Source organism: Homo sapiens, chromosome 21, assembly GCF_000001405.40.
Source record: "Homo sapiens chromosome 21, GRCh38.p14 Primary Assembly".
NCBI lineage: Eukaryota > Metazoa > Chordata > Mammalia > Primates > Hominidae > Homo > Homo sapiens.
This window is the reverse complement of record NC_000021.9, coordinates 41,549,788-41,574,378: the sequence shown is the minus strand read 5'-3', so window position 1 is coordinate 41,574,378 and position 24,591 is coordinate 41,549,788. Positions and strand designations below refer to the sequence as shown.

Below are 24,591 nucleotides of genomic sequence, written 5' to 3'. Positions count from 1 at the left end.
GTGCATGTCGGGGAGGAGAGGGGGAGGGACCATATAGGAAATCTGTGTACTTTCTGCTCAATTTTGCTGTCAACCTAAATCTGTTCCAAAAAATAAAGTCTATTAAAAAAAAGTTAAACACACATCCTATATGATCCAGCAACCTCACTCCTGAAATTTACTTCATAAACCTAAAAACTTCTGTTCACACAAAAGCCTGAAATGAAAGTTTATTATAGCAGCCCTATTCACAATTGCTAAAAACTGGAACCAACCCAAATGTCCTCCAACAGGTGATAGATAAACAATCTGTGGTCCATTCATACCGTGAAATACTACCCAGCAATAAAAAGGAACAAACTATTGGTGCACTCAACAACCAGGTTTAATATCAGAGGATTAGTGAAAGAAGTCTGTTAAATGCTACATGCTGCCCAATTCCCTTTATTTTATTTTTATTTTTTTTATTTTTGAGATGGAGTGTTGCTCTGTCACCAGGGCTGGAGTGCAGTGGTGCAATCTTGGATCACTGCAACCTCTGCCTCCCGGGTTCAAGCGATTCTCCTGCCTCAGCCTCCTGAGTAGCTGGGATTACTGGCACACACCTTTAAATAAAACTCTCTGCCTTCTGATCAGTGGTGAAAAAAATTTAAAAAGAAATTCTCAAAAAGACAAAAAGATAGTGATGGAGAACAAATCAGTGGCTGCCAGAGTTTGGGGATATGGAAAGATGTGACTATCAGGGGGTAGAATGAGGGAGTTTTGGAGTGATAGGAATGTTCTATATCCTGAATGGGGTGGCAGTTACATGAATCTATATAGCTGTTAATATTCACCCTCCAAATTCGATATTGCTGTATAATAACTTTAAAATGAAAACATACTTCATATCTAGAGTCTGTACCATATAAAAATAAACATACACTAACCATATGATCCAGCCATGCCACTCCCGGGTATCTATCCAAGAGAAATGAAAGCACGTGTCTGTGCAAAGTCTTTTTTTTTTCTTTCTTTCTTTTTTTTGACACGGAATTTTGCTCTCGTCACCCAGGCTAGAGTGCAATGGTGTGATCTCAGCTCACTGCAACCTCCGCTTCCCGGGTTCAAGCGATTCTCCTGTGTCAGCCTCCTGAATAGCTGGGATTACAGGCATGTACCACCATGCTCAGCTAATTTTTGTATTTTTAGTAGAGACGGGGTTTCATCATATTGGCCAGGCTGGTCTCGAACTCCTGACCTCGTGATCTACCCACCTCAGCCTCCCAAAGTGCTGGGATTACAGGTGTGAACCACTGGGCCTGGCCTCATGCAAACTCTTGTAGGCAAACTACAATGTTCTTAAACAAGTGGATAAAAAAATGTGGTATCTCCATTCAGTGAAATCTACTCAGAAATGAAAAAAAAAAAAAGAATGCCTGATGCAGGAGATGACATGCACAAGTCTCAAAGTCATTATGGTGAGTGAAAGGAGCCAGGCAGAAAGAGAGCACCTACTGTCTGGTTTCATTTGTACAAGATGATAGGGAATGCAAACTCACCTGCAGTGACAGGAAGTGGATGAAGGATGAGAAGGTGTGAGCAGACAGGGGGCCATGGCAAAGGGGCACAAGGAACTTCTGGGGGTGTGGATATGCTCGTTATCTTGACTATAGTGAGAGTTTTACACATGAATACATTGATATATATTTCATATAACATATATGTTTATATTTGTAAAAGTGCTGTCTTGCCCCAGTTTTGAGGCCCTGGCCAGAGGCCAGTCAGTTCCCCTTCGTAAGCAGCTGATTACACAATCACATTCAGGGGCTGCTATATACCTGTGCTAATCACCCCAGAGCCAGGTACCAGACAACTAGGGAGAGCCCCTGTGCCTTAGAGTCTGCAGAACTGTTCAAATTAGCCAATCCACAAGGAATACCCAAAACCTAGTGTGAAATTAAATAAGTAGGAGACCACTACCTGAAGCTGTTTCTGTACTTACAGTTCTTGCATAATGTATTGCAACCTAACTTACTATGTAAACAAATTGAAACCTAACTTAGGAGTACCACAGCTGAGGCTCAGCCAATCATAGGCAGCCAACTCCTGACACCATGCCCACATAAGGCAGATGCCTAGCTGTAGCCAATCAGGGGATTTCCCTACTTTGCTTCCATGTTCAGCCTATAAAAGCTCAGCCTGTAGAATCTTGCTGCTCACACTGCTGGGCAGAGTTCCCTGAACCCCTTCTGGATCTGAGTGCTGCCCAATTCATGAATTGTTCTTTGCTTATATAACTCTGCTAAGTTTAATTTGTCTGAAGGTTTTCTTTCAACACCATCTACTCCCACCTTGCTGGTAATACAGAAACTGCCCCCACAGCTCCAGCTTGCTGTTACCCTGTCCCCAGGCAACCCTCTATGTGGCCCTGCCTAACAGCTTTCTCTCATTTGGAAGTAGCAAAGACTGCTGCTTTCATCTATCTGAGTTGCACTGGGTTGCATCCTGCCATCAAAAGAACCTTTATATCAAAACATGCCTGTGTCAAAACTTACAAAACTGTGTGCTTCTAATGTGCACAGTTTATTGTAAGCTGACAATACCTCAATACAGCCATTTAAAAAATCTTATGAGGTAAAATCAACAGAATGAAAAGGTAACCTATGCAATGGGAGAAAATATTTGCAAATCACATATGCAACAAGTGGGTAATATACAGAATATATAAAGAATTGCTACAACTCAGCCACAACAAAAAGCCCCAAATAACCTGATTTAAAAATGAGCAAAGCACTTGAATAGACATTTCTTCAAAGAACATATACAAATGGCCAAGAAGCATATGAAAATATACTTAACATCGCTTCTCAAGTGAAATGCAAATCAAAACCACAATGAGATATTACCTCACACCCATTGGGATGGCTACTACCAAAACAACGATAATAGAAAATAATGAATGTTGGTGAGGATGTGGAGAAATTAGAACCCTTGTGCACTCTTGCGAATGTAAAATGGTCCAGCTACTGTGAAAAAGAGTATGGAGGTTCCTTCAAAACTTAAAAATAGAGTTACCATATGATCCAGCAATCCTACTTCTGGGACCCAGAAGAATTGAAATCAGGGTCTTGAAGAGATATTTGCACATCTGTGTTCATCACATCATTACTCACAATAGTAAGATGTGGAAGCAACCCAGGTGTCTATGGACTGATAAATAAATAGACAAAACGTGACATACACATGCAAGAGAATGTTAATCGGTCTTAAAAAAAGAAGGAAATCCTGTCCCATGTGACAGCACGGACGAAACTTGAGTGCATGATGCTAAGTGAAATAACCCAGTCACAGGAGGACAAATACTATTATGATTCTACTTCTATGAGGAGTCTAAAGTAGCCAAACCCACAGAAACAGAAAGTAGAATATGGTGGGTGTCAGCGCCGGGAAGAGGGGGAATGAGGAGTCCATGTATAATGTAGTTTCAGTTCTGCAAAATGAAAAAGTTCTAGAGAGCACAACGATATGAATAGAGTTAACACTATTAAACTGTGGGTCTAAAAATGATTAAGATGGTACATTTTATGTTGTGTGTTTATTACCACAATTTTTAAAGACTGTGAGGTGAACAGTGTGGTTATTTTATTTTTTTTGTTGAGATGGAGTTTCGCTCTTGTTGCCCAGGCTGGAGTGCAATGGCATGATCTTGGCTCACGGCAACCTCCGCCTCCTGGGTTCAAGTGATTCTCCTGCCTCAGCCTCCTGAGTAGCTGGGATTACAGGCATGCGCCACCATGCCTGGTTAATTTTGTATTTTTAGTAGAGACGGGGTTTCTCCATATTGGTCAGGCTGGTCTCAAACTCCCAACCTCAGGTGATCCACCTGCCTCGGCCTCCCAAAGTGCTGGGATTACAGGCATGAGCCACTGCGCCTGGCCTGGTGTGGTTATTTTTATCTTCACTTTGCAGATATGAAAACTGAGGCTTGGGAAGACTAAGTTACTCTTCCAAGGCCATTTTTTCACATATTGACCATTTGTGTATCTTCTTATGTGGAATATCGGCCTGTGGCCCATAGTTTCATTGGGTCATTTGTGTTTCTAAATTTTATGTTATTTCATGTTATTTTCAAGTTGTACCAGTGTTTTACATATTTTGGATACAATTCTTTTGTCAGCTATATGTATTGCACATATTTTCTCCCCAGTCTCTCTGTTGCCTGTTAATTTTCTCGTTACCTGTCTTCTTCTTGCTTTTTTTTTTTTTTTTTTTTGAGATGGAGTTTCGCTCTTGTTGCCCAGGCTGGAGTGCAGTGGCACAGTCTTGGCTCACTGCAGCCTCCGCATCCCAGGTTCAAGCAATTCGCCTGCCTCAGCCTCCCAAGTAGCTGGGATTACAGGTGCCTGCTACCATACTCGGCTAAGTTTTTGTATTTTTGGTAGAGATGGGGTTTCGCTATGTTGGCCAGGCTGGTCTTGAACTCCTGACCTCAGGTGATCTGTCCACCTCAGCCTCCCAAAGTGCTGGGATTACAGGCATGAGCCACTGCACCTGGCTGCTTTCTTCTTTTTTTTAGAGGCAGGATCTCTCTCTGTTGCCCAGGCTAGAGTACAGTGGCGTGATCACAGCTCAATGCAGCCTCAAACTCCTGAGCTCAAGTGATCCTCCTGACTCAGTCTCCCAAGTAACGGAGACTACAGGAGTGCCTGGCTAATGAAAAAATTTTTTTGTAGAGACAGGATCTTGCCATCTTGCCCAGGCGGGTCTCAAACTCCTGGCTTCAAGCAATCTTCCTGCCTTGGCTTCCCAAAGTGCTGGGATTACAGACATGAGCCACCACACCCAGCCTAATTTTCTTAATAATTTTTATTTGATAGAATCTGGTGCTTTCTGTGTGCTGCCTAAAAAATCTTTGCCTGCCCAAATGTAGGAGTTTATAGTTTTCATTATTACGTTTAAGTCAATAATTCACTTGAATTAAATTTTGTATCTGGTATAAGGGAGGGGAGGCTCATTTTTTTGGATATGGATATCTGTGTGTTCCAGCTTCATATGAGTGGCAGGGGGTGCACCTGAGGGGTGGGTGGCCATTGAGAGTGACTGGAAGATGTCCTGCAGTCTGGGTGCCTCGGATGCTTCCTGGGCAAAGGCTGAGATTTTTCCTTTCCCACTCCCAGCAGCTCTGTCAGCTCCTCTTGTTTAGCTGGGTCCCCCATTTCCTTGGGCCCCTCTGCTCATTCCCCCTTGCATCCTAGGGGGCCCGAGGGTGGGGTCTGGAAAGGAGGCGGTGACAAGCCCAAGGCCCCAGCCTGGAAGGACCCATCCTGTGGACTTTGCCAACACTGGGAAGCAGCAGCTGCAGAGTTTGCATCTCTGCTCATTCTCTAACTCTACCTGACCGGGAGCGAGTCGGCCGTGTGCTTGGCTCAGTCCATAAAATGAAAACAGTGCTCCCTGTCTGCTTTATAGGAACGTTGTGAAACAAAGCTAGAATTTTAAAGCATTGTAAAATAGTCTGACACTCTAAGCTACAATTCAAATGCGTCTAATATAATATCAGCTTGCATCTCATCTCGAGACACCCAGAAAATACCAGCGACGCCAAACTGCTTCCACTTTTCCCAAACGGCTCTGGTCCCTCCTGGCCTTTGTTAGGTTTTGGTTCTGCTCCATACCTGGACAATCTGTGCAGCACCCTGTCCAGCCCTCGTCTGGAGGAGGTGCCAGCCTCCTGTCACTTCTCTTCCTCTGGGACAGCCCACCCTCTGCTCTCCTTCTTGTTTTTTATGTTCCTCCTGTTCCAGGCCTTTCTGGCTGTCATGAGCATTTACAACTGGCTTGTGGTCCCAGGGTGTTCAAAACCAAAGAGTTCATATCCCAAATCCAGACCAATTGAGCAAAGATTAGGTCCAAGAACGAATGTGGATGTGTGCTCTTAAAGCTTTGCTTGAGGCAATCTACAGTCACATTAGGAGGATGCGGGTGGGTGGCAGCGTCTATGCGAAGCCTCACAGCCTGCTGGGCAAGGCAAAGGTGCCAGGAGGCAGAATCTGTGGTGGGGAGGATGGCGAGGGCTGGAAGGACTGGACCCACCCACTGAGCCGCGGCGAAGTCGCGGGCACAGTACATGCGCGGCAGGTGTTGGGAGAGGGCTCGCAGCGACATCCTGCTGCCCAGACAGTGCCTGGCACATAAACAATTGCTGAAGGCACGAGTGGCCCATGCTTTTGGTACTCCGTCATGAGGAAGCGGGACTTGGGGGCAAGGGTGACGGAAGCGGACTGGCCTTGGGTGACAAAGTGCAGGTGTGTTATTCTCCCTCCAGGAAGAGACCTCAGAGGAGGGCAGATCCCAGACACTCACGAAGCCCCTCCAGGTCCCCAGGAGGACCTCTCATACATGCTTACATCCGTGCCCTAGGACCTCGGTTGCATGCCGCCATCTGCCCCAGCAGAAAAGTTGATCCTGAAGCCAGGCTCGCTCCCTTCTAGGAGCCCCGCTCTTTATGGCTCTGCTCTTCCAGGTTGCTGCTCTGGGGCTTGCAAATGGGGCAGGGCTGACAGAGAAAAGTTTGGACCCTGGACACAGATTGTCTGCAGGGCCCTTCCACTTCCTCCTGGCACTTTAAACCCTCAGTCGCTAGGGACCCTTCTTTCTATGTGAAAGTCTTAGCTTTCAGGACAGGGGTGAGCTGACACTCACTGTCACTCAAGCATGAAAGACTGACAAGGATTGTAGTAACTCATGAGACAGCCCCAGTGAAGATGGAAACTAGTCTCTAAAAGTGGCATCCAAGCCATGACTGGCAAGGCTTACAATCCTTACAAGAATAGATGGAATCCATCCATCCATTCACCCATCCATCCATCCATCCTTCCATCCACCCACCCACCCATCCACCCATCCATCCATCCATCCATCCATCCATCCATCCACCCATCCACCCATCCATCCATCTACCCACCCATCCATCCATCCATCCATCCATCCATCCATCCATCCATCCATTCATCCATCCACCCACCCATCCATCCATCCATCCATTCTGTTTTGCTGGAGAAGCAAAGGAAACTCCCTCCCCTTTCCTGGCCTTCAGCTGCTGCCTTCCTGTGGCAGGACGCAGACCATGCTTTCCCTCTGAGTGGGACGGGGTCCCCCATTGCCCTACCCTCTGCAAGGCTTCCTGGTGGTGGGGGGGACCTGATTGCTGTTCTCCAACTCCCCCAACCAATCCCACCCAGGTGACTGAGGAGGAAACAGGAAGTCAGCTCTTGGGCTCCTCATCTCCAGGAGCCACCTTGAAAGACTCTGTGGCCCCTTTGCCCTCTGGATTACAAATTAGGGTTCGAGGTGCCCCTAGGGAAGCCAAGTCTGGGACAATTGTCTGGATAACTCAGTCGAAGCCAGATCTGATTTAAGGAAATATTGAAAAATATTTAGCTTGATGATAAACCTATCCTTCATCATCTGTTGGCCTTTGGACAATATATTTAATCTCCTTAAGCCTCAATTTCCTCATCCCATAAAATGAGCTGGCGGTGGTGCCTCCTCTGCAGGCTAGTTATGTAAACTCACTGTGATAAACTTGCAAAGTGCTGAGGATGGCAAGGCCTTCACTTGGCACAGCCCACGCCTGGCTCACCTGGGCTGGAGCAGGTGGACAGAGCAGGCACTGAGACAGGCTCCTAGAGGTACCAGGCAGACATCAGCTCATCCCCCAGAGCAACTGTAGGGATGTGCGGTGCTATAAAAGCATGAACTCTGGGATGTGAGCTCATCAGAGAGGTCAGGGAAAACCTCATCAAGGAAGGAGAGCTTTGAGGCCAGAGTTGAGGGGGATTCAGCAGGATTAACCAGGCAAAGAGGGGGAAAGAGCATCCAGGTAAAAGGAACAGGTGTGCCAGGTTCCCCAGGCAGGAGGCACTGCGAGAGGCGAGCTGGGTGAGCCCAGGCACGTGCTCAAGGCAGAGGGTTTATCCCATTCCAAACCACTGTTGGGTTTTAACAAGAAGGAGACTTGCTCAGATGCCAGAGTTCATCCAATTTCCCCCCATCGTGCTGTCTTCCCTCTTTCAATCTAAAAATCAATCTGAAATTGAGATTTTCCCGTTAGATTTTTTTTTTTTTTTGAGACGGAGTTTTGCTCTTGTTGGCCAGGCTGGAGTGCAATGGCACGATCTTGGCTCACTGCAACCTCCGCCTCCCAGGTTCAAGCAATTCTCCTGCCTCAGCCTCCCGAGTAGCTGGGATTACAGGTATGTGCCACCATGCCCAGCTAATTTTGTATTTTGTATTTTTTTTTTTTTGATAGAGCCGGGTTTCTCCATATTGGTCAGGCTGGTCTCGAACTCCTGACCTCAGGTGATCCACCCATCTCAGCCTCCCAGAGTGCTGTTTTTTTTGTTTGTTTGTTTGTTTTTTGAGTTGGAGTCTGAGACCCTGTAGCCTAAGCTGAAGTGCAGTGGCACGATCTCGGCTCCCGGGCTCAAGTGATTCTCATGCCTCAGCCTCCAGAGGAGCCGGGTCTACAGGCAAGCACCACCACACCCAGCTATTTTTTTTTTTCTTGTATTTTAGTAGAGACGGTGTTTCCCCACGTTTCCCAGGGTGATCTCAAACTCTTGAGCTCAGGCAATCCTCCCATGTCGGCCTCGCAAAGTGCTGGGATTACAGGCGTGAGCCACGGTGCCCAGCCTAGATTACGATCAATTGTATCACACTGCAACATTAGTAAATAACTTCTAAAGTTCAAGTAGACAAAGTGACTCCTTTCCAGAACATACACAATTTGAACAACACTGAATCTTGGTCATTTGGGTCATTTGTAGGCCATCCCCACACCCAGCAGTAAATTCTGCGAGCTAATTTTAAACACAACCTTTGGTAACCATAACTGAAAAGATGCAGTGACAATTGCTTGAAGGACTATAGTAGATATCATGTGATAAAATTCAGTTTGACTTTTTTGCAGGGGGACTCACACAGTCTTGTAAAAAGAAAGCTAGCAGTGTCATGACTGACATTTGAACTAGATTGTCAGGGGTCTTTACTGCAAAGTTTTGGGGACAGGGAGAGAATACTATTTCCTGTAATGGAAGAAATGAACACTTGGTGAAGATTCCACATGGGAACGTGTTGTGTGTTGATTGAGGGCAACTCTGGGGCACTAGGAAATCCAGGTAGCTTGTCAGGTGATCAATCACGTGAGATGAGAAGGGCGAGAGAACAGAGGGGCAGCCTGCAGGAAGTGTATGCAGCACTGAATGGCTTCCAGATGTCGGTTGAGAAGAAAGCTGTAAAAAAAAACGAAAAACAAACAAAAAAAAAGATTTAGCAACAAGGAAACAACCAGGCATATGAGAGCAACGTTTTGCTCTAGTTTTCCGGAACAAGTGACTCACAAGCCTCACTGGTCACCACAGAAACTGAACCGTCTGCTAAATGCAGCGGGAATGCAGGAAGGTGTTAACATGTGGGGCGAGTGCGATTCTAGGCATTTCCTGCACTGTTGGAACAATTAATTGTTATTATTATTTTGAGAGAGGGTCTCACTCTGTCGCCCAGGCTGGAGTGCAGTGGTGGGATCAAGGCTCACTGCAGCCTCGACCTCCCCTGGCTCAGGCGATTCTCCCACCTCAGCCTCCTGAGTAGCTGGGACTACTGATGCACCACCATGCCCAGCTAACTTTTTTGTATATTTTTGTAGAGTTGGGGTTTCACCATATTGCCCAGACTGGTCTTGAACTTCTGGGCTCAAGTGATCTTTCTGCCACGGCCTCCCAAAGTGCTGGGAATACAGGCATGAGCCACCATGCCAGGCCTGAAATGATTAACGGTGTTCAGGAAGAAACTGAGACTCAGAGAGATGAAGGCAATGGGGTCACCTGTGGGTAACGACCAGACCCCTAGTTCAAACCCAGTCTGGTCCATCTGACTGCAAACTCCACGTGCCTTTCTCTCTGCCTTGCTGCCTTCGAAAGGGCAAACGTGAACCATTCCCAGGTACACCCAAGCGCACATTTTTACATGTTTTCTTTATTACTTTTATTTTATGTTATTTTATTTTTTTGAGACAGAGTCTCACTCTGTTGCCCAGGCTGGGGTGCAGTGGTACCATCTCAGCTCACCAAAACCTCCACCTCCTGGGTTCAAGTGATTCTCCTGCCTCAGCCTCCCAAGTAGCTGGGATTACAGGCGCCTGGCACGATGCCCGGCTAATTTTTGTATTTTTAATAGAGATTAGGTTTCATGACATTGGCCAGGCCGGTCTCAAACTCCTGAGCTCAGGCAGTCTGCCCTCCTCGGCCTCCCAAAGTGCTGGGATTATAGGCATGAGCCACTGAACCCAGCCACCTTTTACTAAACAGAGAAATAAGGATTCTCAAGCTGAAAATATGTATCAAGTCTGAAATCAAAGAGAGTTTTAGTTACTATCTACTTTTTCCTGGAAGCTCCATCAAATGTAGCAGAAAGAATATCTAGAGAGGAAGAAGAAAATTCAGCATTGTCACCTTTCCCAAATCTTTCATTTCAGGAGAGAGAGAGGCACATGGCTCCAAACAATTCTGTGAAAAAGCCTCTGCGTCCTGCGTGTTGAGCCATTTGCAGGACATCCCAATGCCCAGCAGTGAACTCTGCCAGCTAATTTTAAACACAACCCTGAGCCGCTGCTGCAGCCCCTCCATGGCTCTCAATCGGATTGTGAGGGCAGCGCCTGGGACTTGCCGGACTCTCTGTCCTCCGGGCTCTTTCAGGACCCGTCCCCTTCAATCTCTCCGTGCCCCCTTCTCATACTCATGGGTCCCTCCAGTCCTCGTAGGGTCTCCTTCCTACATTTCCGTCAAACTTCTCGAAATCACATCCGCTACCTGCAGCTTCTCACCGTCCCCCTGCACTCTGCCTCTTGCCATCTGGTGTCCACCTAGAACTCAGTAGAAATTGCTGGGGAGGGAAGAGATGGGAAGGACATCTTCTTTCAAGAGCCAGTTCCTCCTCCACCATCTGGACACACCCAGGGTGCTTGACACCTGGAGGATAAACATCTTCCAGCCTGGACTCCCAGGACTCCAGGACCATGAGCTTCCTGCTGGGGCAGCCAGAGGCCCAGCTGTCCAGACCCAGGGGTCTTCTTCAGGCAGGTCAAGAAGCAAAGGGGAGGATGAAGAACAGGAGGTGGGAGGCGGGTCACCTCTGGTTGGAGCTGTGCCAAGTGGCCTAAAGGACAGACTTTTCTTCCAGCTCCCCTGAGACCCCTGTTCAGCACTGTCACCTGAAGACTTGGCTGTGCACTGCTGATGGCCCCCTGCGCCATCTTGTTTCTCTCTGAGGTGCCCCAGCAACTCTGCAAATGACCCAGCAGGACCAACTTCCTGGTCCCAAGGCTGTTGGATGGAGCTTAGGAGAGAGGGTAGATGGAGCATCGCTCATCTGGACACCTCAGAAGGGGCAGACAGCAGCACGCAGAGTGCCAAAGGGGAAGAGATGCGGAGCAAAGAACTGGAAACTTCTCAGGTGTGTGTACTTGGGGGCACGGAGGGGGAATGAGTGTCCCGGTGGGAGAGAAGGCAAAAGAAGGTGCCCATCTGAAGAAGGGGCATGTGTTGCCAAAATCTGAGGGTGAGAACAACACCAGGGCCAGTGGGTGAAAACGGGAGGGCATGGGCCTTCTTAGAGCACTGGTTGTAGAGTTCTAGGTGGACTCCAGGCTACAGGGCACTACAGATGAGGAGGTGGTGAGAAGCTTTAAGCAGCAGATGCTATTTTGAGAAGTTTGGCCAGGAAGGGGAGGAAGGAGACAGTGTGAGACAGAGTCGGAGCAGATGGAATGGCGTGGCTCCAGGGCAGCGCCCACCGCCTGCAGGTGTCGTATCCCAAGGCTGGTGACCCTCCGAGGCAGCTTGACCAAGCCAGCCCTTTAGGAGCTGGAGTGGTGGAGGGCCGCAGTGAGGATGACTTCATAATTCACTCCTCAGAGAGGCCACGTGAGAGGAGGAAGTACAGCTGGGCGAGGCCCTCGGACATTCAGGTTCCAGGCCATTCACCCCATTGCTGCCCCAACCTGGACAAACTTCCAGGCCGAAGGGGAACAGCAGCCGCAGCTCCCTGCTAGGGGATTTCCCCGGGTGACCGCAGGGCTGGGGAGCATTACACGGCCACTCAATGGCAGAACAGATGACTCCTTTAGGAGAGCTGCCTCCAGAACCTTCCAGGCCAGGATCTGCCTGCCAGCTGTCCCCCTCCGGGAGGCTGGAGGAGCCGGGCCAGGCCACATTTGTGGAGCCCGAAGGCCCGTGTGGCGCTTCTCCTATTCTGTAGAGTGGTAGTTTGTTTTGTTTTCATTTTTTTTTTTAGTTTATTTTCTTACTTTTAAGGCAAAAGTTAAAACTGCCTACATTAAATTCTGGTTAAAATTCAACATGCTGCCTGCCACGTGTCTCTGTGTCTGGGCGGCTCAAGCCACTGCTCCCTGGGCGGTCCTACTGCAGCCTTTGCCTGCTAGTGCTCCTCTGGCCCACACCTTGCAAACCCGGGTGATGAAGGCTCATTCTGGCCCCCATGGTGGTGACCCCAAAGCTGAGTCCCTGGCCCTCCCTTGTCTGTGTTATTTTGGGGGCAGTGATGATGCCTCATGGTTGATGGTGATGCTATCATGGGTCATGCTTCTTTCTCTCCTCTGACTGTGATCTTGGCCTGAGCAGACCAATCCAATGGTGCTCTTAATCTGTGAGGGTGTGTGTGTGTGTGTGTGTGTGTGTGTGTGTGTGTGTCTGTGTGTGTGTGTGTGAGAGAGAGAGAGAGAGAGCGCAACAGAGTGCGCACCAGCCGTCCATCCCCCTGCAAGTCAGGCAAGTGATCCTGCCCCAGGTGGGGAGAAAGCTGGGGTCCCCTCCACACTGCTCTAGGGCCATAGAGGCAGGCTTCAGGCACATCCAATGGTGCAGGTGTGCTGGCCTTGGGAGTCGACACACGACAGGCACTCTGTGCTGATGGAGAATCCTGCAAAATGTGGCACTCCTCAAATATCCCCAAACATGGCAGAATCTGGTAAAGCGAGGATAAAGGGGCTGGAGCAGGTTGGAGCAGAGAGGAAGGGAGCAGGAAGCCCTAGTGGAGCCCGGTTCTGCCTCAGTGCTGGGACCTAGGGAAGCACATGGCCTTTCTAAAGCCTCGGTTTCTCAGTTTCTCCACATGTAAAATGAGAGAATCAAACCAGAGGATCTCTAAAGCCCACCTACCTAGAGACTCTGCAGGGGACTAGTCACCTGACCCTGCCAGCAGGACACTGCTACCTGGGCCCCTGAGCCACTGCTGACTGCCGGGGAGGCTCTCTGCCTTGAGACTGGATGAGCCCTCATGGTGACAGCTCACTGATGACCATAAAGTGTTCCAGGAAAGAAACAATAAATGAGATGTCCCTGTTTATCAGAGCCATTACTGAGCTGTGTGGCAGATTTCAGGTCAGTAGAGAAGTGACTTTTGCCCAGAGGAGGTCGGCCAGAAGGGACCCAGAGGACACACCCGGCTGTTAGAGGAAGGAGCTGCAGGGAGAAGTGCCCACACCCACAAGGTTTAACAAAGTGTGACCCACCCCTGCAACAATTTTCCTGGGAGCTGATTTAAAATGCAGATGCCCGGGCCCTGCCTCAGACCCACTGATGCAGCGTCTGCGCAGGTAGGACCAGGGAATCAGCATTTTACACCAAGCGTGCCGGGGGTTTTCACGCATATGAAAGTGTGGAAAACCCTGAGAGGCTGGGCAGCAGTTTGATTCTAGAAGGGAGTGCTTTAATTCCTCCAAAGTTCGCCAGCTTTTATTTTAGTGATAAGGTCTCACGGAAGTCGACTTGGAGATGCCCTTGTTTAGACAGCTGGGTTAATGAGCGCCTTGCTTTTTGTGCTCACATAAATAACCCTTTTCCTGTTCACTGCCTTCTGGACTTACAGCATCACCGTCTTGTTCCCTAGGCATTCACATTGGCAACTCCTGTTCCAAGAATAATTATTTATGACAGATTTCAATTTTCGGGGCAGGGATGGTGTCTTACTCATCCTGGGCTTCAGGACATCTGTGTAACAGACGCTCCAGGTAATGCTTGTTGAAATGAACTAAAATGAAATGCTTGAATGAAGGTCACTAGGCTTTCAAGGAAGCCCCATACAATCACCTTATCGTCCAATAACCACCCAGTGCCTTGCCCAGAGCGTGGTATCAAATCGTTGTAAAACACACATACGTATAAGATTAGTTGGATTTCCCCACCATAGTTAAGGAAGTAACCGCACCAAACGATAAACTGACTCATCCAAATTCCCCCCAGAAAAAGCTTGGCTGAGATTAGATTTCTGAACCACCAACACCCTCGAATGAGCTGGCTGTTCCAGATGTGAATAGTAGAAATAGGCCAAGAAGAAATAAAAATAAGCAATTTTCTAAATTACCAACACACTCTTGATATTGCCAATTTGTTCAGAAAACAGTAATTTGTTTAATGCACTGATTCTTTACCTAAGATAGTTGTGAAAATGAGCCAGTTCTGTACCTTCTAAAGAACTCAGTGCTGTTCTTTCTAAGGGGTCTCCACAACTGCTCAGTAGACTCAATGCTCCCTTCTCCTCTTCATTTCTTCTGGTGTCCTTGACCCAGAGAACTAATTCGGTGGTTCTCAAACTTGGCTGCCCCTGGAGAGATTTGACAACTCCTGTAGGTGAGCCTCATTGCTTACAGATTAAAGTGGAACCACAGGGACTAGCTTCTAATGTGCAGCGAGATTACAGTCCATTGATGTGAATAACATTAGGCCACCAACCGGCCCTTCCCCCCAAAACAAATATAAGTTACTTGAAAAATGAACAGGAAAAACTCACTTGGGAGAGAAAAAGACAAATGAAATTCAAATTGTTCAAAAACCCTCACACCAAGCAATGAAACTGTCACACAGAGGATCCCATCCCCAAATAATAGTTCATTGTTAACTGGCAGTTGACTGATTTTGGTGCTCTTGGTAACCTCTTCTGAATAAGTTTTCTTCTTCTGGAGTAATTAGGTGAAGCAGTGATGTCAACCCTGGCTGAACACTGGAATCACCTGGGAAGATCAAAAAGCAACACCTCCTGCATCTAGGTTTGGTCTGGATATTGGAATTTTTTAATGTCCTGGTGGTTTTAATGGGCACGCAAGGTTGAGAACTACTTATTTATAGTTTTCATCAAAAGTCTGTCTGGTAAACTCTTAAGTCTTTTTCAGTCTGAAGTCTTTATTTTGAATTCAATCTTAATAAAAATTTGGTGGTTTACAGAATTCTAGATTGAAAGTCATTTTCCTCTGACTTTTGAATATTTTCATTCACCACCTTCCTCTATTTATTTATTTATTTACTTATTTATTTATTTACTTTTTTTAAGACACAGTCTCACTGTGTTGCCCAGGCTGGACTTGAACTCCTGGGGCTCAAGCCATCCTCCTGCCTCAGCCTCCTGAGTAGCCACCTTCCATTCTTAATGTTGAGATGTCAGCTCTTAGCCTAATCTTCCTAGCTTTGTGTAGGTTTTTTTTTAAATCTTTTTTGCTCTAGTAGCCTTTAGATTTTCTCTTTTTCCTTGATATCCTGCGTTTTTAATGCACTGCATCTGACTATGAATTTATCTTTATTTATTCTCCTTGTTTCCCAATGTTATCTTTCTATTTGGAAAATCATGTCTATCTTCAATTTTGGAAAATTGTCAGGTATTATAATTCGCATATGTCCTCCACCATTTCCTGTATTCTCTACTTCTGGAACGTCTATTAGATGCATGTTGGAGTGTCTTATATTATTTTCCATATTATTTTGTCTCTTTCATATGTTTTTACTTCTTTGTCTCTCTGTCCTGTTAGCATTAATTCCTTAGTACAATCTGCTGTTTCTCGCTTTAACTGCATTTACTTGTTTATTGTTTATTTCAATATTTATAGTTTTTTATTTTCAGAATCTCCAATCCTTCATTTATCTAATCCATGTCTTCATGTTGATAGCTGCTCAAGCTGTTCACAGCACCCTATTTTTGTTTTTTCCTGTGGTCGTCCCTTCTTTCGTCTCTTTGAACATCACACACAGTTAAATAAATCCTCTGATGATTGGTCTATCATTTAGATTTCCTCAGAAGCATTCTCCAATTTGTCGCATTTATTGTAAATTTTTTCAAGCCATGTATTTTTCCCCCGGCTTTGAAACACTCTTTTGCAAGCTCCCATCGCTTGGTTTGTTTAGCTCTCCTTCTTCTCTCACCTCTCTGTTGTGGCTGGTAGGCCTGCGTTTAACTCCACCTCGAACTTCATCCTCTTCCAAGGTCAGACAAGCAGTCCTTATCAAAGCAACCTGGCCTTTTACTCCTGGGAGCAAAGTCCCGCTCCTCTCTTTGTTTCCTAAAGAGGCTGACTCTAGGCTCCTGAAGCACACACCACAGATGCCCCTTCCCATTCAGGAGCTGGGATCCTGGTGGCTCTGCCCATTTCTACATCTGTGGGTTCTGCCTGCCCCTTCTGTGTATATCCATTCCCTTCCTAACCCATAACATTTTTTATTTTTTAGTATGGCTTTGTATGTAGAATATTTTCTCTATGATTGTTAAGATACTTTTGAGTGCAATAAGCAGAAATGGCAATTCAAAGTGTCTTTAAAATAAAGCAATTAACAGCCTCATGCAACTGCAAATCCAGCAGTGTCCGATTGCTCTAAGAGGCTGTGTGCCTAGCTTGCACTTGTCCTTCCAGGTTGCCTCCGCAGCCCTCTCTGTCCCAGCAAGCTGACCTTACAGACTTCCATTTGAATTCAGCAAATGGGGAGCATCAGCAGGTGATCACAGTAGAAAGCAAAGTGAGTTTGGGTATTTATTTCCCTAGCTGTCTTCCTGTAGGCACCCCCACCACCAGGCTGGTGCAGCCTCCTCCCAGAAGGCCTATCCATGAGGCTCTCGGTCTTCAGGTTCTGGGAAGGTACCTCCCAACTCCCCTTTCAGAACTTGGTGGTGGAGAACAGGATGGGGACACCTCCTCCCACATTCACTAACTTCAAGCAAGTACTTCCCTTATCCATTCTACACCTTTTAAAACAGTCACTTTATTAAACTTTCCCTAAATTTTCCCAATTTCAATGTACCATTTACTGGGACTTTGATTAGTTTAAAAGGTCACCAAATATCAAGGTATTTTTATGTCTCTAAGCTTCATCCTAAAAGTTTTTGGTTGACAGATGGCCACAGCAGTCATAGTGTATACACATGGTAACATTTAGTGACAGAGAAAGACGTCTTCCCTTTACAGAGCAAGGGATTTTTTTTCCAGCAGCTTCCAGCCAACCTCCCCGCTGTTTCATTGGCTTTAATTGGTCTCCTGTCCATTTCTGAGCCGATTCCTGGCTACCGTGGAAATGCCTTGTGTTGATTGGCTTAGACCTGGGGGCTCTGACCACTTACTCTCAAGGAAGCTGGAATTTCAATGGTTGGCTTAGATTCTCTAGAGCTGAGAACCATCCTCTAGGGAGACCTTGCCATTTCTGCTAAGTTTGGGAGGACAGAGGATGAAGTGGTGAACCTGAGAGTGTATTTGGATGATTGCTGTGCATTCCCCTTTGCTGTGCTGCTTGGCAGTCTACAGAAATTTACAGTTCAGAAGGCATTTGTTATTTGAAAGTAATGGCCCCTAAAAACCTTCGTCGGTCTCCAGACCCAAGACAATTATCCAGACCCAAAACGCCCTCAGTTCCCTTACCTGAGCCAGAACTAAAAGACAGAACACTGCTTGAAAGATTGAATGAGATGGTGTGTCATTCACACCAAGTGGGGAGGCGGCTGGCCTGGTTTAGGCACAGCTCTGTGACCAGCTCCTCCCAACCTGCTTTGTCCATGAGTCAAAGTCTGACCATTGTGAGGGCTGGGGGATTGCTCTGAATGGGTCAGATGCCAACTGAGGGTCAACCTTTCTGTGCAACGTGGCTCTCAGGCAGTATTTTTTGTTTTTTATTTGTTCGTTTGTTTGTTTTGAGATGGAGTCTCACTCCCGTCGCCCAGGCTGGAGTGCAGTGGCACGATCTTGGCTCACTGCAACCTCCATCTCCTGGGTTCAAGCAATTCTCCCACCTCAACCTCCCAAGTACCTGAGACTACAGGCACGTGCCACCACACCCAGCTAATTTTTGTATTTTTAGTAGGACAGGGTTTCACCATGTTGGTGAAACTGGTTTCAAACTCCTGACCTCAAATGATCTACCTGCCTCAGCCTCCCAAAGTGCTGGGATTACAGACATGAACCACCACGTAAAGCCTCTCAGACAGCTTATTTCAGGCTTCGTTATTAAGTCATTTTTATTTCCTGAGAAGAGAAATGAGAGAAAAGAAATGAGAAATGAGAGAACCATTTCAGATCAGTCTATATGACTACAAAAATATGATTATTTAATGGAACACATGAAACTTTCAATGATTCTTCACTCCCTTTCCTTCTCTCTTCCTCCCTTTCTACCATCAGTAGAGACTGAAGTGTCCTCACTCTTGCTGGGTGAATCTTGAACTGGAGAATGGAATTGCTGAAAAGAAAACAAAGGATGACAGGGGTGCCTGTGTGAAAGTGTGTGTCTATGTGTACATGTATGTACTTGTGCCTTCCTGCATATGTATACATGTAACTTGAGTGGGTGAGCTTGTGTGCATGAGAGTGCACAGTTGCACACACCCCACTGCATACCTCTCCTGAGTGCCTAGAAATCAAAACTAGATAGAATTTAGAGATCAACTAATTCAGAATCTTCCTTGATCACAGTGAACTAAATTAGAGCAAAAGACCTAGAGGTCTGCCAGTATCTACCCATGTTCATGCTGCATCAGAAAAAGAATTTTGTGATAACAACAAAATGGAGACAAGGAAATATTCAACTTGCCCTAGAAATGTTTATGAATGACTTATTTATGCTTCAATTAGAAGAGAATATCGACTTATATATATTACTTGAATTATGAACAACACTCTATACAGTTACAAATAATATGATAGTTTTAATATACTTACTGTGAGAAAATTTTGCCTATATTTTCATGTGTGCAGATTTACAGGCAGCAGATTGTTAATGCCTGAATAAGGCCTGTAGGGATTAGGCTGCATCCACTATGTTTATCTGGCAGAGAAAGTTCAGGTAGCACATGTGACCTCCAATGGTACAAGGCTCCAGGCTTAGTTACAGGAAAATCCTAGACAGTTCTATTAACATATTACTCCTGAGTTAACCAAACAACACAAATTGATTAACAATTTGTTAACTCAAGAGTAAAATCAAATTGATAATACTAAGACTGATATTAAGAGTAATTTATAAGCAGAAAGCATGAAGCAGCAATGGAAAACCACAGCCAACTCAAAACAACACTAATGATACCACAAATTGAAAATCTTCAGCAATCACAATCACTGAATATGTTCCTAAATATTCTTCCCCCTCAAAAAATAACCTTCTAAGAGATTAGTAGGTTGCTTTCCACTTAAATTCTCATGAAGTCTTTTATAAGGCATTCTTATACTTGCTTTTTAAACTCATGTTTTTATTGTGAAACATAACATCAATAGCTTTTCTACAAAAGGCCAGTTTCTTTTTCCAGGAGGCACAGTAGCCTGGATTGACCTCAATCTGTGCTTGCTGGGGACGTCCAGAGTAGCCAAGGGGGTGAATCACTAACAGTAGATAAAGAAGAAAAGATATTTAACACTGATTGAATTATTCCAGGAGGTATGACCTCATATTCAGAGGTGTAGGGTGTTAAAAATAAGCCTTGTTGGAGGTTGCAGTGAGCCGAGATCACGCCACTGCACTCCAGCCTGGGTGACAGAGTGAGACTCCATATATATAAAAAAAAAAAAGCCATGTAAAGACCACATTAAGAGCAATAGGTTGTCTATGTTGTGTAAATTCTCTTACAGGCCGGGCGCGGTGGCTCACGCCTGTAATCCCAGCACTTTGGGAGGCCGAGGCGGGTGGATCATGAGGTCAGGAGATCGAGACCATCCTGGCTAACAAGGTGAAACCCCGTCTCTACTAAAAATACAAAAAATTAGCCGGGCGCGGTGGCGGGCGCCTGTAGTCCCAGCTACTCGGAAGGCTGAGGCAGGAGAATGGCGTGAACCCGGGAAGCGGAGCTTGCAGTGAGCCGAGATTGCGCCACTGCAGTCCGCAGTCCGGCCTGGGCGACAGAGCGAGACTCCGTCTCAAAAAAAGAAAAAAAAAAAAAAAAAAAAAAAAAAATTCTCTTACAAAAGGAATGAAAAAGAAACAATGTTCTAATGTTGTATAAATAGTACTTATAGCTAGGGATAAAGTTTCCAGCAACAGTATCTTGAAGTCAGCAGAGCTCAAAGAAATTAGGGGAAACTGAAGACCTTATAATGTTCTCTTGGAAAAGATTAGCTCAAAAGGCACGTCTGTGACAAGAAGACTGCATGTCATAGAGGCAAGGAGAGTTAGAATGAAATGGCTTCATCAAATGAGAGCTTGGGGAAAAAAACAATGTGGCAAATTGGAATTTATATACACACAACCTCTGACCTTTCTAATGTGTGTCATGAAATTAACACATTTTATATTTTAAGTAAAGATCGGACTAATCCACATTGTTAAATTGTCTATGGATTTTCTCATAGGACGGTGTCTTTAATGGCCAGTGTGGCCTAGTTCCCGGGATATGAGGCAGCTTCATGAACAAGGGAGAAGCGGGAAGCGCTCGGGGCACCGTCGGGGCCACTTTGGAATTTTTTGTAAAGTAGCAGGCTGCTCATTTTAGCTAGGGAATACATAGCATTAGTAGTGATCTTTTTTTTTTTTTTCTTTAAGACAGAGTTTCCTTCTGTCGCCAGGCTGGATTTGCAGTGGCATGATCTCTGCTCACTGCAAGCTCCGCCTCCTGGGTTCACGCCATTCTCCTGCCTCAGCCTCCCAAGTAGCTGGGACTATGGGCGCGAGACACCACACCCAGCTAATTTTTTTTTTTTGTATTTTTAGTAGAGACGGGGTTTCACCATGTTGGGCAGGGTGGTCTCGATCGCTTGACCTCGTGATCTGCCCGCCTCGGCCTCCCAAAGTGCTGGGATTACAGGCGTGAGCCACCGCACCCGGCCTGTAATCTTTAATAATTTATTTCATAGGCTATAGGCAAATAGCTCATTGCTTTACACAAACTAAAATCAACATGGCTCTGCCTCTTTTCCAGGTGAAAACCCAAAGCAGGCTGGTTCTTCTTGCCGGCTTCCTCCCAGACCCGTGCCTGGCCGGGGAGGGGCCACACTTGGAGAATTCCTGCTATAGATGGGTCAACATCCGGGAGTGGTGTTTCTCTCAGGACAGAATGAGCTAAAGGAGAGAAACTCTACCTGAGAAAAACAGGAAAAGAGGAAACTTGAGACAACTCAGAGCTTGGGTTCCTTTAGTAGCAGTACTCTTTTGTTTCTCAGGTCGATCAGCTACAGTGTGGCAAATACAAAGCAAAAAAAAAAAATTCACTTCTGTGAATTGTGCTGTGATGAACACACCATGCATGCGTCTTTACAGTAGAACAATGAATATTCCTTTGGGTATATGCCCAATAATAGGATTGCTGGGTCGAACGGTAATTCTGCTTTAAGTTCTTTGAGAAATTGCCAAACTGCTTTCCACAATGGCTGAACTAATTTACGTTCCCTTTTCTCTACAACCTTGCCAGCATCTGTTATTTTTTTTTGACTTTTTAATAATAGCCATTCTGACTAGTGTGAGATGGTATCTCACTGTGGTTTTGATTTGCATTTATCTAATAATTAGTGATGTTGAACATTTTCATATGCTTGTTGGCCACGTGTATGTTTTCTTTTGAACAGTGTCTGTTAATCAAGCTAAATGTCCATTAACGGTAGATTGGATAAAGAAAATGTTGTGCATATACACCATGGAACATTACGCAACCATAAAAAAGGACGAGGTTGTGTCCTTTGCAGCAACATGGATGGACCTGGAGGCCATAATCCTACGAGAACTAACACAGGAACAGAAAAGCAAATACCGTGTGTTCTCACTTATAAGTGGGAGCTAAACATTGAGTATACACAGACAAAAAGAAGAGAACAACAGACACTAGAGTCTACTTGAGGGTGGAGGAAAGGAGGAGGATGAGGACAGAAAAACTATTGGGTACTATGCCTATTACCTGGGTGGTGAAATAATCTGCACACCAAACCCCTGTGACATGCAATTTACCCATGTAACAAGCCTATACATGTATCCCTGAACCTAAAATAAACGTTAAAAACAAAAACAAAGAAGGAAAAACCCTTTGCTTATTGGTGCACTGGGCCTTTTTACCAGTGGAGGCTTTCAACCTGTCTCATCTGGGAGTTACCTGGGAGTCACCTGGGAGGTGAAAATCCTGAGGCCTGGGTCCCCCAGGGATTGGGACCTGAGCAGTAAGCACTTCCATTACTAAGCCTGTCAGTCCACAGGAGTCACCTGCAGCCTCCAGGCCAGAGGGCTGACCACTAGGCTGAGGGGCACGTCTTGTCCTCCAGTTCTACTTGGACTGGGCTGCTGATGGGATCACATGCAACCACCCATGGCTAAGGCAGCCTTTGAGAATCACCTTGAAGACACACTCCCACCCACTCCTGGGGCAGCAGTCTTTAGATCTTTACTTATAGAATTTCTAAAGTGTTTTGAAAGACCACGGCCCTTTTGTACTTTTAAAGCTGATATCTAAACACTTCTATCATACATTTAATTAGTCAAGTAGGGAATCAGCGTAATTTGAATATTGACATTTTAAACAAAATTCACATCATCTTTAAAATGTATCCAATGGAATCTAACTAGCACAGCAATCTGACGTCAGCCGCTAGTCGTTTAAAAAGCGTGAAAACCAGCTCTCTGACAGAAATTTTATGGGAATGCTTTTCTCCGTGAATTTGCATTTCTATTCTATGGCCTCTACTGATTTTATCTAAATGTAATACATTAAATATTGACAACGTTGAACTTTATCTGGAGGTTAGGAAATCCTCTTACCCTTTTGTGTTCCAGAAAATGGTTTACTGCAAGGAATGACCTTCCCATGTGATGTAGATGCAAGTCACCGATGGTCCATGTTGACCTAGGACAAGGCCAGTGTGAGGCCTTCCAGGTTTCTATTCTTTGGCCATCAGTGATTGGCTGAGTTGCTCTGCCCACTGATCAATCAGAACAAAATCCTCATTAACCAAACTTTGGTTAAGCTTCTTTCCTTCCCTGGGCTCCTAAACTTGGACTGCCCTCAGCCTGCGCCTGCAGGCAGCCCCTTCTGAGAAGAGGCCGGCCTCAGGTCAAACCTTCTTTGACCATGTGCCTCCCATCCATGTCACTGCCCCAGACTCTGCTCTTCCTAGTTTTGTTTACTCCTCTCTACAAAAGAGAGGAGTGCCTACCTCTTCAGATACTTGCAGGTCTCATGGTTGGAGAATAACTGCTTCCAATTCCCAATTGTAATTCCCAATTACAATAGTTTCCTTCCCGCTTTGTAACAATATCCTACCCCATTGCAATGGCTTCCCTCCCGGTTTGCAGTAAGTCCTCCTCCTCCATTGAAATAGTCCTCCTGGGCCGGGTGCGGTAGTTCAGGCCTGTAATCCCAGCACTTTGGGAGGCCGAGGTGGGCAGATTACGAGGTGCAGAGATGGAGACCATCCTGGCTAACACGGCGAAACCCCGTCTCTACTAAAAATACAAAACAAAATTAGCCGGGCATGCTGGTGGGTGCCTGTAGTCCCAGCTACTTGGGATGCTGAGGCAGGATTATGGCTTGAACCCAGGAGGCGGACCTTGCAGTGAGCCGAGATCGTGCCACTGCAGTCCAGCCTGGGCAACAGAGCAAGGCTCCGTCTCAAAAAAAAAAAAAAAAAAAAAAAAAAAAGGAAATAGTCCTCCTCCCCCATTGAAATAGTCCCCCTGTCCCTATTGTAATAATCCCCCTTCGCATTTGCAATAGTCCTCCTTCCCCATTGCAATAGTCCTCCTCCCCCATTGCAACAGGTCGTCCTTCCCCATTGCAATAGGTCCTCCTTCTCTGTTGAAATAGTTCTCCTCTCCCATTGAAATAGTTCCCTTGTCCCTATTGTAATAATCCCCATCCCCCATTGCAATAGGTCCTCCTCCTCCATTGCAATAGTCCTCCTTCCCCATTGAAATAGTACCTCTGTCTCTACTGTAATGATCCCTGTCCCCCATTGCAATAGTCCTCCTGTCCCTATTGAAATAGTCCCCCTGTCCCTATTGTAATAATCTCCCTTCCCCATTGCAATAGTCCTCCTGTCCCTATTGAAATAGTCCCCCTGTCCCTATTGTAATAATCTCCCTTCCCCATTGCAATAGTCCTCCTGTCCCTATTGAAATAGTCCCCCTGTCCCGATTGTAATAATCTCCCTTCCCCATTGCAATGGTCCTCCTCCCCCATTGCAGCAGCTCTCTCGCCCATTGCAGTAGGTCCTCCTCCCCCACTGCAATAGTCCCCTGTCCCTATTGTAATAGTCCCTCTTCCCCATTGCAATAGTCCCTTTCTTTCTGTTTGAATATCTTATCCAGTAAAGTTTCTCCTAAGTCCAAATTTATTTAACAACAT

General features: G+C 45.9%; 1 long non-coding RNA gene across 3 annotated transcripts in view, besides 7 other annotated features; it reads left to right on the top strand.

The window, feature by feature from the left end:
* Positions 1–21,575, top strand: part of LOC105372809 (uncharacterized) — a 28,541-nt gene extending 6,966 nt beyond the window's left edge. Inside the window, exons 2-5 of one of the 3 annotated variants that reach the window (XR_937738.1) lie at positions 10,496–11,472; positions 13,927–14,047; positions 15,006–15,082; positions 21,187–21,575. This is a non-coding gene — a long non-coding RNA (uncharacterized LOC105372809). Of the gene's footprint in view, positions 1–10,495; positions 11,473–13,926; positions 14,048–15,005; positions 15,260–21,186 lie in introns of those variants that run through there. The other 2 variants (XR_937739.1, XR_007067871.1) reach the window with 2 other exon arrangements.
* Positions 3,344–3,473: an enhancer, noted in NCBI's record as "active region_18483". NCBI's record gives its function as "activates an Ori minimal core promoter by ATAC-STARR-seq in GM12878 lymphoblastoid cells {active_cell/tissue: GM12878}" and the evidence as "EXISTENCE:reporter gene assay evidence [ECO:0000049][PMID:35858748]".
* Positions 5,225–5,798: an enhancer, noted in NCBI's record as "-60 kb ARBS fragment used in the pGL3 promoter construct". NCBI's record gives its function as "AR-responsive activation of a minimal E1A TATA-box promoter in transiently transfected VCaP prostate cancer cells, and non-AR-responsive activation in LNCaP cells {active_cell/tissue: LNCaP | VCaP(+R1881 androgen)}" and the evidence as "EXISTENCE:reporter gene assay evidence [ECO:0000049][PMID:24109594]".
* Positions 5,426–5,448: a transcriptional cis regulatory region, noted in NCBI's record as "TM-ARE3 sequence that was quadrupled in the pGL3 reporter construct". NCBI's record gives its function as "androgen-responsive activation of reporter gene expression when four copies are used in transiently transfected VCaP prostate cancer cells {active_cell/tissue: VCaP(+R1881 androgen)}" and the evidence as "EXISTENCE:reporter gene assay evidence [ECO:0000049][PMID:24109594]".
* Positions 5,426–5,448: a protein binding site, noted in NCBI's record as "TM-ARE3 probe". NCBI's record gives its function as "binds AR in VCaP prostate cancer cells {active_cell/tissue: VCaP}" and the evidence as "EXISTENCE:protein binding evidence [ECO:0000024][PMID:24109594]".
* Positions 11,291–11,791: an enhancer, noted in NCBI's record as "H3K27ac hESC enhancer chr21:42934515-42935015 (GRCh37/hg19 assembly coordinates)". NCBI's record gives its function as "activates a minimal SCP1, AML or CMV promoter by ChIP-STARR-seq in naive H9 embryonic stem cells {active_cell/tissue: H9 hESC(naive)}" and the evidence as "EXISTENCE:reporter gene assay evidence [ECO:0000049][PMID:30033119]".
* Positions 11,792–12,292: an enhancer, noted in NCBI's record as "H3K27ac hESC enhancer chr21:42934014-42934514 (GRCh37/hg19 assembly coordinates)". NCBI's record gives its function as "activates a minimal SCP1, AML or CMV promoter by ChIP-STARR-seq in naive H9 embryonic stem cells {active_cell/tissue: H9 hESC(naive)}" and the evidence as "EXISTENCE:reporter gene assay evidence [ECO:0000049][PMID:30033119]".
* Positions 14,028–15,227: an enhancer, noted in NCBI's record as "BRD4-independent group 4 enhancer chr21:42931079-42932278 (GRCh37/hg19 assembly coordinates)". NCBI's record gives its function as "activates an origin of replication core promoter dependent on BRD2, P300/CBP, MED14 and CDK7 cofactors, and independent of BRD4, by STARR-seq in HCT116 cells {active_cell/tissue: HCT116}" and the evidence as "EXISTENCE:reporter gene assay evidence [ECO:0000049][PMID:35650434]".
* Positions 21,576–24,591: the final 3,016 nt, after the last annotated feature.